The sequence below is a fragment of the Homo sapiens genome, chromosome 16, assembly GCF_000001405.40.
Source record: "Homo sapiens chromosome 16, GRCh38.p14 Primary Assembly".
In the NCBI taxonomy this organism is placed as follows: domain Eukaryota; kingdom Metazoa; phylum Chordata; class Mammalia; order Primates; family Hominidae; genus Homo; species Homo sapiens.
In genome coordinates this window covers 57,577,735-57,590,378 of record NC_000016.10, presented here as the reverse complement: position 1 = coordinate 57,590,378, position 12,644 = coordinate 57,577,735, and the positions used below count along the sequence as shown (strand labels likewise).

At 44.6% G+C, this 12,644-nt stretch overlaps 1 long non-coding RNA gene across 2 annotated transcripts in view, besides 1 other annotated feature; it reads left to right on the top strand.

The window, feature by feature from the left end:
- Nucleotides 1–12,644, top strand: part of LOC105371291 (uncharacterized) — a 41,734-nt gene that overhangs the window by 16,644 nt on the left and 12,446 nt on the right. The window lies entirely within an intron of this gene.
- Nucleotides 671–740: a silencer, noted in NCBI's record as "silent region_7534". NCBI's record gives its function as "represses an Ori minimal core promoter by ATAC-STARR-seq in GM12878 lymphoblastoid cells {active_cell/tissue: GM12878}" and the evidence as "EXISTENCE:reporter gene assay evidence [ECO:0000049][PMID:35858748]".

The following is a 12,644-nucleotide window of genomic DNA, read 5'->3' as shown; positions in this document are numbered from 1 at the left end:
GGGCAGATCAACTTGAGGCCAGGAGTTTGAGACCAGCCCGGCTAACATGGTAAAAATCAGTCTCTACTAAAAATACAAAAAATTAGCCAGGTATGGTGGCACACGCCTATAACCCCAGCTACTTGGGAGGCTGAGGCAGGAGAATTGCCTGAGCCTGGAATACAGAGGTTGCAGTGAGCCAAGATTGCACCCCTGTGCTCCAGCCTGGGTGTGACAGGGCAAGACACTGTCTCCAAAAAAAAAAAAAAATGGTATTGACCAAGTGTGGTGGCTCATGCCTGTAATCTCAGCCTGGGCAACATAGTGAGACCCCCATCTCTACAAAAAAAAAAAAAAAAAAAAGCTGGGTGTGGTGGTGTGCTTGTAGTCCCAGCTACTCCAGAGGCTCAGGCGGGAGGATCACATGGCCTCCATGGTAAAATCCCATCTCTACTAAAAATACAAAAATTAGCTGAGCATGGTGGTGAGCACCTGTAGTCCCAGCTATTCGGGAAGCTGAAGCAGAAGAATTGCTTGAACCCAGGAGGTGGAGGTTGCAATGAGCCAAGGTCACACCACTGGAATCCAGCCTGGGCAATAGAGTAAGAGTCTGCCTCAAAAAAAAAAAAAAAAAGTAAAATAAATAAGTAAATTTTTTAAAGGTATGAAACTGTAGTCGCTGGAACTTTTTTTTTTTTTTTTATCAGCATTTATGTGTCTTAGCTTTGCCCACGCTGTGGCCGGTAGCTGCGGTCCATTTGCTTTCAGAGGTTTAGAATGCTGTGTTCTGTGACGATACCACAAGGCCACTCTCCTATCAAGGGGAAGTCGGGCTGTTTCTGTGATTACTAACAACGCTGTTATGAACATTCTCAGGTGCATCTCTAGGAACACTGCAAGGCTTCCCCTTAGATATAATTGGGAGGTAGATTTGCCAGAGCATAGGTGTGCCAGTGTGCCTCTATACCAGTGATCCCCAACCTTTTGGGCACCAGGGACTGGTTTCATGGAAGACAATTTTTCCACAGATTCGGGGGGCAGAGTGGGGAATGGTTTCAGGATGAAACTGTTCTGCCTCAGATCATCAGGCATTAGATTCTCATAAGGAGCCCACAACCTAAATCCCTCACATGCACAGTTCACAATAGGGTTCTCAGTCCTATGAGAGCCTAACGCTACCACTGATCTGACAGGAGGTGGGGCTCAGGTGATAATGTTTCCTCCCCAGCCAGTTCATGGCCTGGGGGTTGGGGCCCCCTGCTCTACACGAAGAGAAATGCCAAACTGCTTTTCCAAAGTGCTTGAACTAATTACACTCTCACCAGCAATTTTGAGAGTTCCTGTTGATCCACGTCCTCGCCAACATTTAGCAGTGTCAGACATCATAATGTTTACCCATCAAATGCGTGAAAGATGATGTCTCGTTGTGGTCTTGACTTCCACGTGCCTAATAGCCAGTGGGCTTAATTAAGCATCTTGTCATAATTTTTGGCCATAGCTGTTTCATCTTTGGTGAAATGCTGGTTCATGGCTTTTTTGCACATTTTTCCTTTTCTTGCTAGTTCATAGGGGTTTTTGATACCAATCCTGATTATGCATGTATATGTGTATATGTCTCCTCCCAGATTTAGCTTGTCTTCTCATTTGCTTTAAGGTATCTTTGGGGAAACAAAATTGTTATTTTTTAATTGTATCAATTATTTTATCACAGTTAATGCTTTTTGGTGTATTTTATTTAACAATTATTTCCCTGAAGGCAGAAAGATATTAACCTATGTTTTCTCCAAACTGTGTTAAAGTTGTACCTCTATTATTAATCCATTTAGAACTGATTCTCGGTTATGCTGTAAGGTAGTGATCCAACTGCACTTTCCCCTCACGTGAACAACCAATTTTACCCACTCTGAGTAATGAATAGTCCCTCTTGCACACTGATCTGACATGTTCCCACTGGCATAGGTCAGAGCTCCACGTATGCCTGCATCTGCCTCGGGGCTTTCTTCTCTGTTTCTTTGGTCAATTTGTTGATCTCTGTGACAAATTCCTAAATATATGGGATTTTTTAAATTGTATTTTTGTTATTACCCTCTAACTTCATTGCATCATGATCAAAGAATGTCCTCTATCAAATACAGGCTAAGTATCTCTAATCTGAAAATCCAAAATCCAAAATGCTCGAAAATTCAAAACTTTTATTTTTTATTTGTTTGTTGTGATTGTTGTTGTTGTTGTTGTTTTGAGACAGGGTCTCGCTTTGTCACCCAGGCTGGAGTGCAGTGGCACAATCTTGGCTCACTGCAACCTCTGCCTCCTGGGTTCAAGTGATTCTCCTGCCTCAGCCTCCCGAGTAGCTGGGACCACAGGTGTGCACCACCATGCCCAGCTAATTTTTCTATTTTTAGTAGAAACAGGGTTTTGCCATGTTGACTAGGCTAGTCTTGAACTCCTGATCTCAAGTTCAGGAGTTCACTCAAGGCTGCCCACTTCAGCCTCCCAAAGTGCTGCGATTACAGGCGTGAGACACCACACCCGGCCCAAAATTAAAAACTTTTAAAGCACAGACATGACACTCAAATGCTCATTGGGGTTGGACACAGTAGCTCACGCCTGTAATCCCAGCACTTTGAGATGTTGAGGTGAGAGGATCACTTGAGCCCAGGAGTTCAAGACCAACCTGGGCAACATAGTGAGACCCTGTCTCTGCAAAATTTTAAAAATTAGTCAGGTGTGGTGGCGCACACCTGTAGTCCCAGTTACTCAGGAGAATGAGGTAGGAGGATCCCTTGAGCCCAGTAGATTTGTTGAGCTATGATAGTGCCACTGTACTCCACCCTGGCCAACACATCAAGACTCTGTCTCAAAAAAAGAAACAGAGGGGGGGATGGGAGGAGAAGAGAGAGAGAGAAGAGAAAGAGAGGAAAGAGAGAAAGAAAGAAAGAGAGAGAGAAAGAAAAAGAAAGAAAGAAAGAAAGAAAGAAAGAAAGAAAGAAAGAAAGAAAGAAAGAAAGAAAAAGAAAGAAAGAAAGAAAAGGAAAGAGGGAAAGGGAAAGAAAGAGAGGGGGAAGGAAGGGAGGGAGGGAGGGAGGGAATGAAGGAAGGAAGGAGGGAAGGAAAGAAAGAAAATGAAAAGAAAAGAAATGCTCATTGGACCCTTTTGGATTTCAATTTTTCAGGTTAGGGATGCTGAACCAGTAAGTATATAATGCAAATATTCCAAATACAAAAAAAGAAAATCCAAAATCCAAAGCACTGCTGGTCCCAAGCATTCTGGGTAAGGGATAATCAACCTGTACCTCTTTGAAATGCTTTGGAACTTGCTTTCTAATCTGGTATACAATCAATTTTTGTAAATGGTCCATGATTGCTTGGGGAGCGCCTAACTGTGGAAGGTGAGATTCAATCACTGTCCATTGGATCAAGTTTGTTACTCCTGTTGTTCAAATCTTTGCTATTTTTTTCAGCTTTGCTATCAATAGTTAAGAGGAGCATTTTAAATATGCCACACTGATGGTAGATTTGTCAGTTTCTCCTTATTCTATCAATTTTTTTTCTTTTTTGAAATGTAGTCTCGCTGTGTCACCCAGGCTGGAGCGCAATGGTGCAATCTCAGCTCACTGCAACCTCCACCTCCCAGGTTCAAGCGATTCTCCTGCCTCAGCCTCCTGAGTAGCTGGGACTACAGGCATGTGCCACCACGCCCGGCTAATTTTCGTGTTTTTAGTAGAGACAGGGTTTCACCATGTTGATTGGGCTGGTCTCAAACTCCTGACCTCGTGATCCGCCCGCTTCAGTCTCCCAAAGTGCTGGGATTACAGGCATGAGCCACTGGGCCCGGCCTCTATCAACTTTTAAAAGTCAAGTTTTTTGGAGTAAATTTAAACACAATACAATTTACTTTTTAAACAGTTCTGTGAGTTTTTATATATACAGTTATGCAATCACCACCACTCTCAGAATACATTATATTTTTAATAGCTTAAAAAGTCCCAGCCAGGCGTGATGGCTCATACCTGTAATCCCAGCACTTTGGGAGACTGAGGCGGGAGGATCACCTGAGGTAAGGAGTTCAAGACCAGACTGACTAAGATGGCAAAACTCGTCTCTACTAAAAATACAAAAATTAGCCGGGCATGGTAGCACACACCTGTAGTCCCAGCTACTTGGGGAGGCTGAGGCAGGAGAATCACATGAAACTGGGAGGCATAGGGTGCAGTGAGCCGAGATTGTGTCACTGTTCTCCAGCTTGGGGGACAGAACAAGACTCTATCTCAAAAAAAAAAAAAAAAAAAAAAAAAGTCCCAGGCCGGGTTTGGTGGCTCACACCTGTAATACCAGCACTTTGGGCCACCAAGGCAGAGGGATTCCTTGAGGCCAGTAGTTTGGCTTGTCACTACAAAAAATAAAAGATTTAGCTGGGCGTGGTGGCATGCGCCTGTAGTCCCAGCTGCTTGGGAGGCTGAGGTGGAAAGATCACTTGAACCCAAGAAGTCAAGGCTACGGTGAGCCGTGTTTGCATCACTGCCCTCCAGCCTGGGTAACAGAGCAAGACTCTGTCTCAAAAAAAAAAAAAAAAAACAGATGAATTGTTAAACAAAATGTGGTATATTCACAGTGGAATATTACTCAGCCAAAAAATGAACGAAATTCTGATATGTTCTACAACATAAATGAACCTTGAAAATATCATGCTAAGAAAAAAAGCTCCAAACAAAATATTCTACTTGTGATATATGTGATTCCATTTATATTGAATAATTAATGTCCAGAATAGGCAAATTCACAGAGATAGAAAGCAGATAGTTTGCCAGGGTCTGGGAGGAGAGAGAAGTGAGGAGTTACTGCTAACGAGTGTGAGGTCTTTCTTTGGAATGATGAAAAAGTTCCAAACTTAGACAGTGGTAATGGTTTCATAACCACAACCACCACATGGAAAACTTTAAAGGTTAACTTTATGGTATATGAACTATGTCTCAGTAGAGCTGTTATGTTTTAAATGTTTGCATACAGGTATCAGTGCAGACGTGTTTTTATTTCTCTGGAGAAATATCTAGGAGTGGGATTGCTAGAGCATAAAGTTGGTGTATATTTAACTTGTGAGAAACTGTCAACCTGTTTTCCAAAGTGACTGTACCATGTGTATTTCCACCAGCAGTGTATGACAGTGCCAGCGGCTTTGTACCCTGGTTAGCACTTGGTATAGTCAATTTGGGGTTTTGTGTTTGTTTTTTATGTAGTTTACTAATAGATGTATAGCATATTCTCATTGTGGCTTTAATTTGCATCTCCTTTATAATTAAAGATGTTGAGCATCTTTTCATGTGCTTCTTTTCCATTCATATCCCTTCACTGGTGACAGGTCTGTTCAAGCCTTTTGTCCATCTTTTATTTGATTATATTTTTTTTAGTTGTAAGAGTTCTTTTTTCCTTTTTTTTTTTCTGAGACAGAGTTTCGCTCTTGTCGCCCAGGCTGGAGTGCAGTGGCACGATCTGGTGCACTACAACCTCTGCCTCCCGGGTTCAAGCGATTCTCCTTCCTCAGCCTCCCAAGTAGCTGGGATTACTGGCATGCACCACCACACCTGGCTAATTTTTGTATTTTTAGTAGAGATGGGATTTCACCATGTTGGCCAGGCTGGTCTTGAACTCCTGACCTCAGGTGATCTGCCCACCTCAGCCTCCCAAAGTGCTAGGATTACAGGTGTGAGCCACCGCACCTGGCATGTGAGTTCTTATTTATTCTGGATATAAGTCCTTTGTCAGATATGTATTTTTGCAAAGCTTTTCTTCTAGTTTTTTGTTTTATTTCTCCTTAAGAGTGTCTTCTGAAAAGCAGAGGTGAGGTCTAGTTTATCTATTTTTTATAAATAGGTCTGGTTTCTCTATGAATGAAGTCTAGTTTATCTATTTTTGCCTGCTTTTGTGTCCTAAGATTTGTTTGTCTAACCACAGTCACAGTGATTTTTGCCTATGTTTTCTTCTAGAGGTATTATAGCTTTGTACTTTATGTTTAGATCTATGATTCGTTTAATTTTTGTCCATGGTATGAGATATGGGTCGAGGTTCATATTGTTTGCGTATAGACGCTTATTTGTTCCAGTACCATTTGTTGAAAAGATTATCCTTTACCTCCATTAAATTGCCTTTGTGCCTTTGTGGGGAAAAAAGTCTGTTGTGATTTTGCTTGGGATATCATTGAATCTCCCCAGTTTAGGGAATCCTTTCAACTTAACAATATTGAGTCTTCCAATTCATAGATATGGCATAACTCTCCAATTATGTAGAGTTTTAAAAACTTCTTTCAATTTTTGCCTCATACTTTTTTTTTTTTTTTTTTTTTTTTTTAGACAGAGTCTCACTCTGTCACCCAGGCTGGAGTACAATGGTGTGATCTCAGCTCACTGCAACCTCCACCTCCCGGGTTCACACCATTTTCCTGCCTCAGCCTCCTGAGTATCTGGGACTACAGGCACGTGCCACCATGCCCGGCTAATTTTTTGTATTTTTAGTAGAGACAGGGTTTCACCATTCAGCCAGGATGGTCTTGATCTCCTGACCTCGTGATCTGCCCACCTCAGCCTCCCAAAGTGCTGGGATTACAGGCGTGAGCCACCACGCCCGGCCCAATTTTTGCCTTATACCTTTTAAGGCTACTTTATTATATCTTCTTGGTGAATTAAACACTGTATCATTATGTTGTGATCATCTCTATTAGTGCATTGTGCTTTAAAACATATTTTGTTTTATATCAAAATTGCTACACAGTCTCTCATTTGGTTATTTTTTCCTTCACATATCTTGATTCATCTTTTTTTTTCTTCTTCTTTTTTTGAGACAGTCTTACTGTGTTGCCCAGGCTGGAGTGCAGTGGTATGATCACAGCTCATTGCTGCCTTCACTTCCAGGGCTCAAGTGATCCTCCTGCCTCAGCCTCCAAAGTGGCTGGGACTACAGGTGCATACCACTAAGCATTGCTGATTTTCAAATTTTTTTTTTTTTTTTTTTAGAAATGAGGTCTCACTGTGTTACCCAGGCTGGTCATGAATGCCTAGGCTCAAGCGATCCTCCTTCCTCAACCTCCCAAAGTGTTGGGATTATAGGTGTGAGCCACTACACCCAGCCTTGATTCATCTTTTTACTTTCAACATTTCCATGTCCTTTTACTTGAGCTGCGTTTCTTATGAATGGCATATACCTGGGTTTTGTTTTTGCATTCAATCTTAATATCTCCTGCCTTTTAACTGATCCATTTAGTCCATTTATATTTATTATAATTATAGATATATTTGGGTATGTTTGTATTATCTTACTTTTGGATTTCTATTAGTTCCACTTTTTGTTTCTTTTTCTTTGAGTTTTATTTGATTGTTTTATCTACCCCACTTTTTTCTCTCTACTGGAATAAAATGTCTACATTCCAGTTTTATTTTTTTTTTCAGTTGTTGCCCTTGAAATTGCTTTTTTTGAGCTAAAGGCAATTAAACCCTTGAAGTTTTACCACGTGTATTTAATTAATGATATCTCATATTAAACAATATCTTAACACCCTCCCTACCCCTCCGCACAAATGCTAGCTAACACTTTAGGACACTGTAACTCCAGTCTTACTTTTCCTGATTTATACACTATTATTCTCCAACATTTCACATTCCTTCTTCTTAATATCACAAATAAAATTATTATTTTATACAGATGATTTTTGGATTGGCTTTAGCTACACTTAACTATTTTTTAAATTTATTTATTTTTGAGACACGGTCTCACTCTGTCACCCAGGCTGGAGAGCAGTGGCACAATCACCGCTCCCTGTAGCCTTGACCTCCCTGGGCTCAGGTGACCCTACCATCTCAGCCTCCCAAGTCGCCTGGACTACAGGTGTACACCACCATGCCTGGCTAATTTTTGTATTTTTAGTAGAGACGAGGTTTTACCATGTTGCCCAGGCTGGTCTTGAACTCCTGGACTCATGCTCTCCTCTCACCTTGGTCCCCCAAAGTGCTGGGATTATGGGTGTGAGCCACTGTACCCAGCCTTTTACCATTTTCTAACCTCACCATTCCTTCTTCTTGCATCTTAGGCTGACCTGGAATCATCTTCCTTCTTGAGGTACATCCTTCGGGAGTTTCTTTGGCTCATTCTCAGCTTTTATTTACCTGTAAATGTTAAATGTATTTTTTTCCTTTTTGTCTTGGTTCCTGAATGGTAGCTTTATTACAGTAGGTAGCTAGTTAGGTATGAGCAGGGCAGGAAAGGACTTCCCCCCAACACACACACACACACACACACACACACACACACACACACACACACACACACACACTAGGAGTGCTGGGTGACCATCAGGTGGTGGTCAAGTGGTTGTTAACTGTTTCTGTTTAGTAATTGGTCACAGCCAGTACGGGGGAAAGGCAGTCTCCTAATAGAAAACACCTGCAACTGATCAGCAGCTTCCCAGTAAGATCTCCGGAGTGGGAAGCAGCTTACTTCCAAGATCCTGGAAGTATGCCAAGGTATCAAACCCCAAGTCAAGAGGCCAAGCTGCGCACTCGGTTTCTCAGGTCAACCACTTGGCCTTCTTCCACATTGTACTTTTCTTCTCCTTCCTTTCCTTACTGTTCTAAAGCTCTTTGTTTTGTTTTGTTTATTGAGACAGAGTCTCGCTCTGTTGCCCAGGCTGGATGGAGTGCAGTGGCGCCATCTCTGCTCGCTGCAACCTCTGCCTCCTGGGTTCAAGCAATTCTCCTGCCTCAGCCTCCCGAGTAGCTGGGATTACAGGCGCCCACCACCAGGCCCAGCTAATTTTTGTGTTTTTACTAGTAGAGATGGGGTTTCACCATGTTTGGCCAGGGGGGTCTCAAACTCCTGACCTCAAGTGATCCACCCGCCTTGGCCTCCCAAAGTGCTGGAATTACAGGCGTGAGCCACTGCTCCCGGCCCTAAAGCTTTTCAATAAACTTTGACTCCTGCTCTGAAACTTACCTCAGTCTCTCCTTCTGCCTTATACCCCTCAGTCAAACTCTTTCTTCTGAGGAGGCAAGAGGTTGCTGCAGATCCAGACGGATTCACCAACGGTAACTCGGATACCTTCCACCAGTAACAGTTTTGCTGGACACTTCTTTTTTTTTTTTTTTTTTTTTCAGACGGAGTTTTGCTCTTGTCGCCCAGGCTGGAGTGCAGTGGCGCAATCTTGGCTCACTGCAACCTCTGCCTCCCAGGTTCAAGCGATTCTCCTGCCTCAGCCTCCCAAGTAGCTGGGATTACAGGCGTGCACCACCACACCTGGCTAATTTTGTATTTTTAGTAAAGACGGGGTTTCGTCATGTTGGCCAGGCTGGTCTCAAACTCTTGACCTCAGGTGATCTGCCCACCTCGGCCTCCGAAAGTGCTGGGATTACAAGCGTGAACCACAGCACCTGGCCCCTGCTGGACACACTTCTAAGTGGACATTTATTTGCTGTCATCACTTTAAAGCTATTACTGCTGCCTCCTAGCTTCTGTCACGGTGGTTGAGGAGCCAGCTCACGTTCTGTGGTCGTTGGTAGGCAATCTGTCCTTTCTCTTTGCCTGCTTTCATCGTTTCTCTCCCTCTGACATTCTGTAGTTTCAATAAAATGTGTATAAGCATGGATTTATGTATTATGCTTGAGATATTTCGTGTTTCCTGGTTCTGAGACTGTGTTTTTCCATCGCTTCTGGAAAACCTGCAGCCATTTCATCTTCAAATACCACCTCTTTCCCATTCCCTTTATTTTCTTCTTTTGGGACTCCAATATATAAGATCTTCTCATTCTTATTCTCTATATCTCTTAATCTCTTTTCATGTTATCCATCTTCTTATCTCTGTTGCATGCTTTATGTATATAAGTCCAGGCTTATTAATTGTCTCTCTCTCTCTTTTTTTTTTTTTTCTGTTGTTGTTGTTAAGACAAGGCCTGGCCCTATCACCCAGGCTGGGGTGCAGTGGTGCAATCTCGGCTCACTGCAAACTCTGCCTCCCAGGCTCAAACCATCCTCCCACCTTAGCTTCCTGAGTAGCTGGGACTACAGGCACATGCCACCACGCTGGGCTAATTAATTCTCTATTCAACTGTTTGTTTGTTGAATTTTAGATTTTGAGAGTTTTTTATGTTTTTTTTTTTAGTAGAGACAAGGTCTTGCTCTGCCACTCAGGCTTGAGTGCAGTGGAGTGACTACGGCTCACTGCAGCCGCAAACGCCTGGGCTCAAGCAATCCTCCCGCCTCAGCCTCCCAAGTAGCTGGAACTACAGGTGTGCCCCACCATGCCTGGCTAATTTTTTTGATTTTTATAGAGACAGGGGTCTTGCTATGTTGCCCAGGGTGGTCTCAAACTCCTGGCCTCAAGTGATCCTCCCGCCTCAGCCTCTTGAGTCACTAGGATTAAAGGCATGAGCCACCACATCCAACTTGAGATAATACTTTTTATTTCTTGAAGTTCCATTTGTTTTCCCCCAAATCTCTCTGTCTCTCTTCATTTCTATTCGTTTATATGCTCATCTTTGCGATTGCATCTTGTGTTTCTTTAAACGTGTCATATATGGCTATTCTGTATTCCGTCCCTGGGGTCTAAAATCTGTTGCTTCCTTCTTTTCTGCCGACTCTCACTCGGTGGCTTACTTTGTGATTTGGGTAAGTTTTATATTGAAGCCCATTGCTTCGTCTCACTCTGGGCATCCTCCTGGCCTAACCAAGGGAAGCTTACCTCCATATTGAGTTTGCTTCTCTCTTGCCAGTAGCAGGGGGCACCCCAACCCAGGACCACCTCAGCCCCCTCAGAGAGTTTTATCTCAGAGGTGGTTCAACTTCCCATCTTCCCCACCCCTAGCTCTTCCAAAGTTCACTATCAAGAAATGGAAAAATTGCTATAAGACTGGCTTTGGAACCAGCCCTCCCCTCCAGGCAACCTGCCAGTTCATGCCAGCTCTCTGACACTCTCCCACGCCCCCAGCTCCAGCGCCCCTGGGTTCATTCTCCAGCTCCCTCTGCTGAAACCCAGGCTCTTGGCCACTCTACTCCCTCACCCTCCTCAATTTTTCTTCTCAGCACTTGTCGCCACCTGTCATATCTTATGTCTATTTGTTAAACTGTTTAGTGTGAGACATTCCTCCCCCACAAGAATGTGATGACTTGTTCATTTATATATCCTCAGCAACTAGTACAGTGCCTGGAATATAACAAGTGTTTAACAATTACATGATGGGTGAATGAATGAGCCAATGAGACACAGCACCTGTCTCCAAAATGCCCTCGGTCTGGCAGCTGAGACAGATGGGGACAGTCATAATACAAAGAAATAACGTCTGTCATGGGGGAAGGGCGGGAGTGGTGGGGCTGAAAGGAGGCCCCACCCTAGATTTGAAGTCTGCATTGAGGGGAATGAGGATGTGCAAGGCTGAGATTTGAAGGATGTGTCGCCATCACTCCACAAATGAGACACACAGGGAGAGCCTTCCAGACAGAGAACAGCCCAGAGATGAGAAAGAACCTGTTCAGGGAACCGAAAGCTGTTCAGTGTGGCAGCACCGAGGAGGAGGGGGAAGGAGTGGTAAGACACGGCTGGAGAGGGGGACACAAGCCGGACCGTGGGCCTTTCAAGTTCCACTGGGGAGTGTGGCAATGAAGAGGGGGTGCTGTGGAAGGGCTTCCGCAGGGGTGGACACGGGCAGGCTGCAGGATGGAAAACACCCTCTGGCTTCTGGGTGAATTTGGAATTGGGAGTGGGGAGGCAGGGAGGTCCATGGCGCCTCTACAGGGGATGGGGGCTAGGTCTGCGCCAGGGCTGACAGCAGGGGTGGGGACACCCAAGGCAGACCCCTTGGGATTTCTGGTGGTGGCTTTGGCTGGCAATAGGAACACCTCAAGCTGAGTGGGCTGTGAATGAGGGGGACTCATCCAGTGGGCAGAGGGGCTTCCCCCTCAGCACAGCCTGGGTGGATTTAGAGAGTGAAGAGTCCACACCCCGGACTCCTGAGCCAATGCTCTTCTCATTAGAGCTTCCAGGTTTAGCAAAATCAAAATACATCAATAATAGGATACCCTGCTACATGTGAATCCAGGTAAACAATGAATAATGTTTTAGTACGTCTCCCAAATTGGGCATCTGATATTTTATCTGGCAACCCTATTTTCAATAGCCCCCCCATACACACACATGCACACACCCTTTTCTGAAATAACACTAACAAAACCACACACAGAAATCTCCTAATCTGTGGTCCTGTTGACATTTACATGGCATCCGTTCACCAAGTGCCTGCTCTGAGTCCCTGGCCCTGAACAACAGCCCCCAGACTCCACCCCATTCCATCCTCCTGCTAAGTCTGGAAGCTCCCAAGAGCTGGCCCCAGGGCCCCATCTGGGCTCTGCTGGGAGAGAGAGGAAGGGGGAAGAGGGGCCCTGCCTGGCTCCACACTATCTCCCTCAGTCCCTCCCCCACACCCAGTGAGACATTTCCAGGAAGTGGTCCCTGCCCAGGGCCTGGACCCCAGTGGGGCTCAGGGCCACAAGCTTGGGGCTGCTTCCTGGAACTGCCAGTCTCCTCCCGTGTCGCTGTGGCCACATCCTCCCTCGGGCAAGCCCTGGGCTTGGTGGGGTCTGAGAGGCTGGGTCCTGGGCTGGGGGGCTCTATGCAGACCCAGCCACAGCAGGAG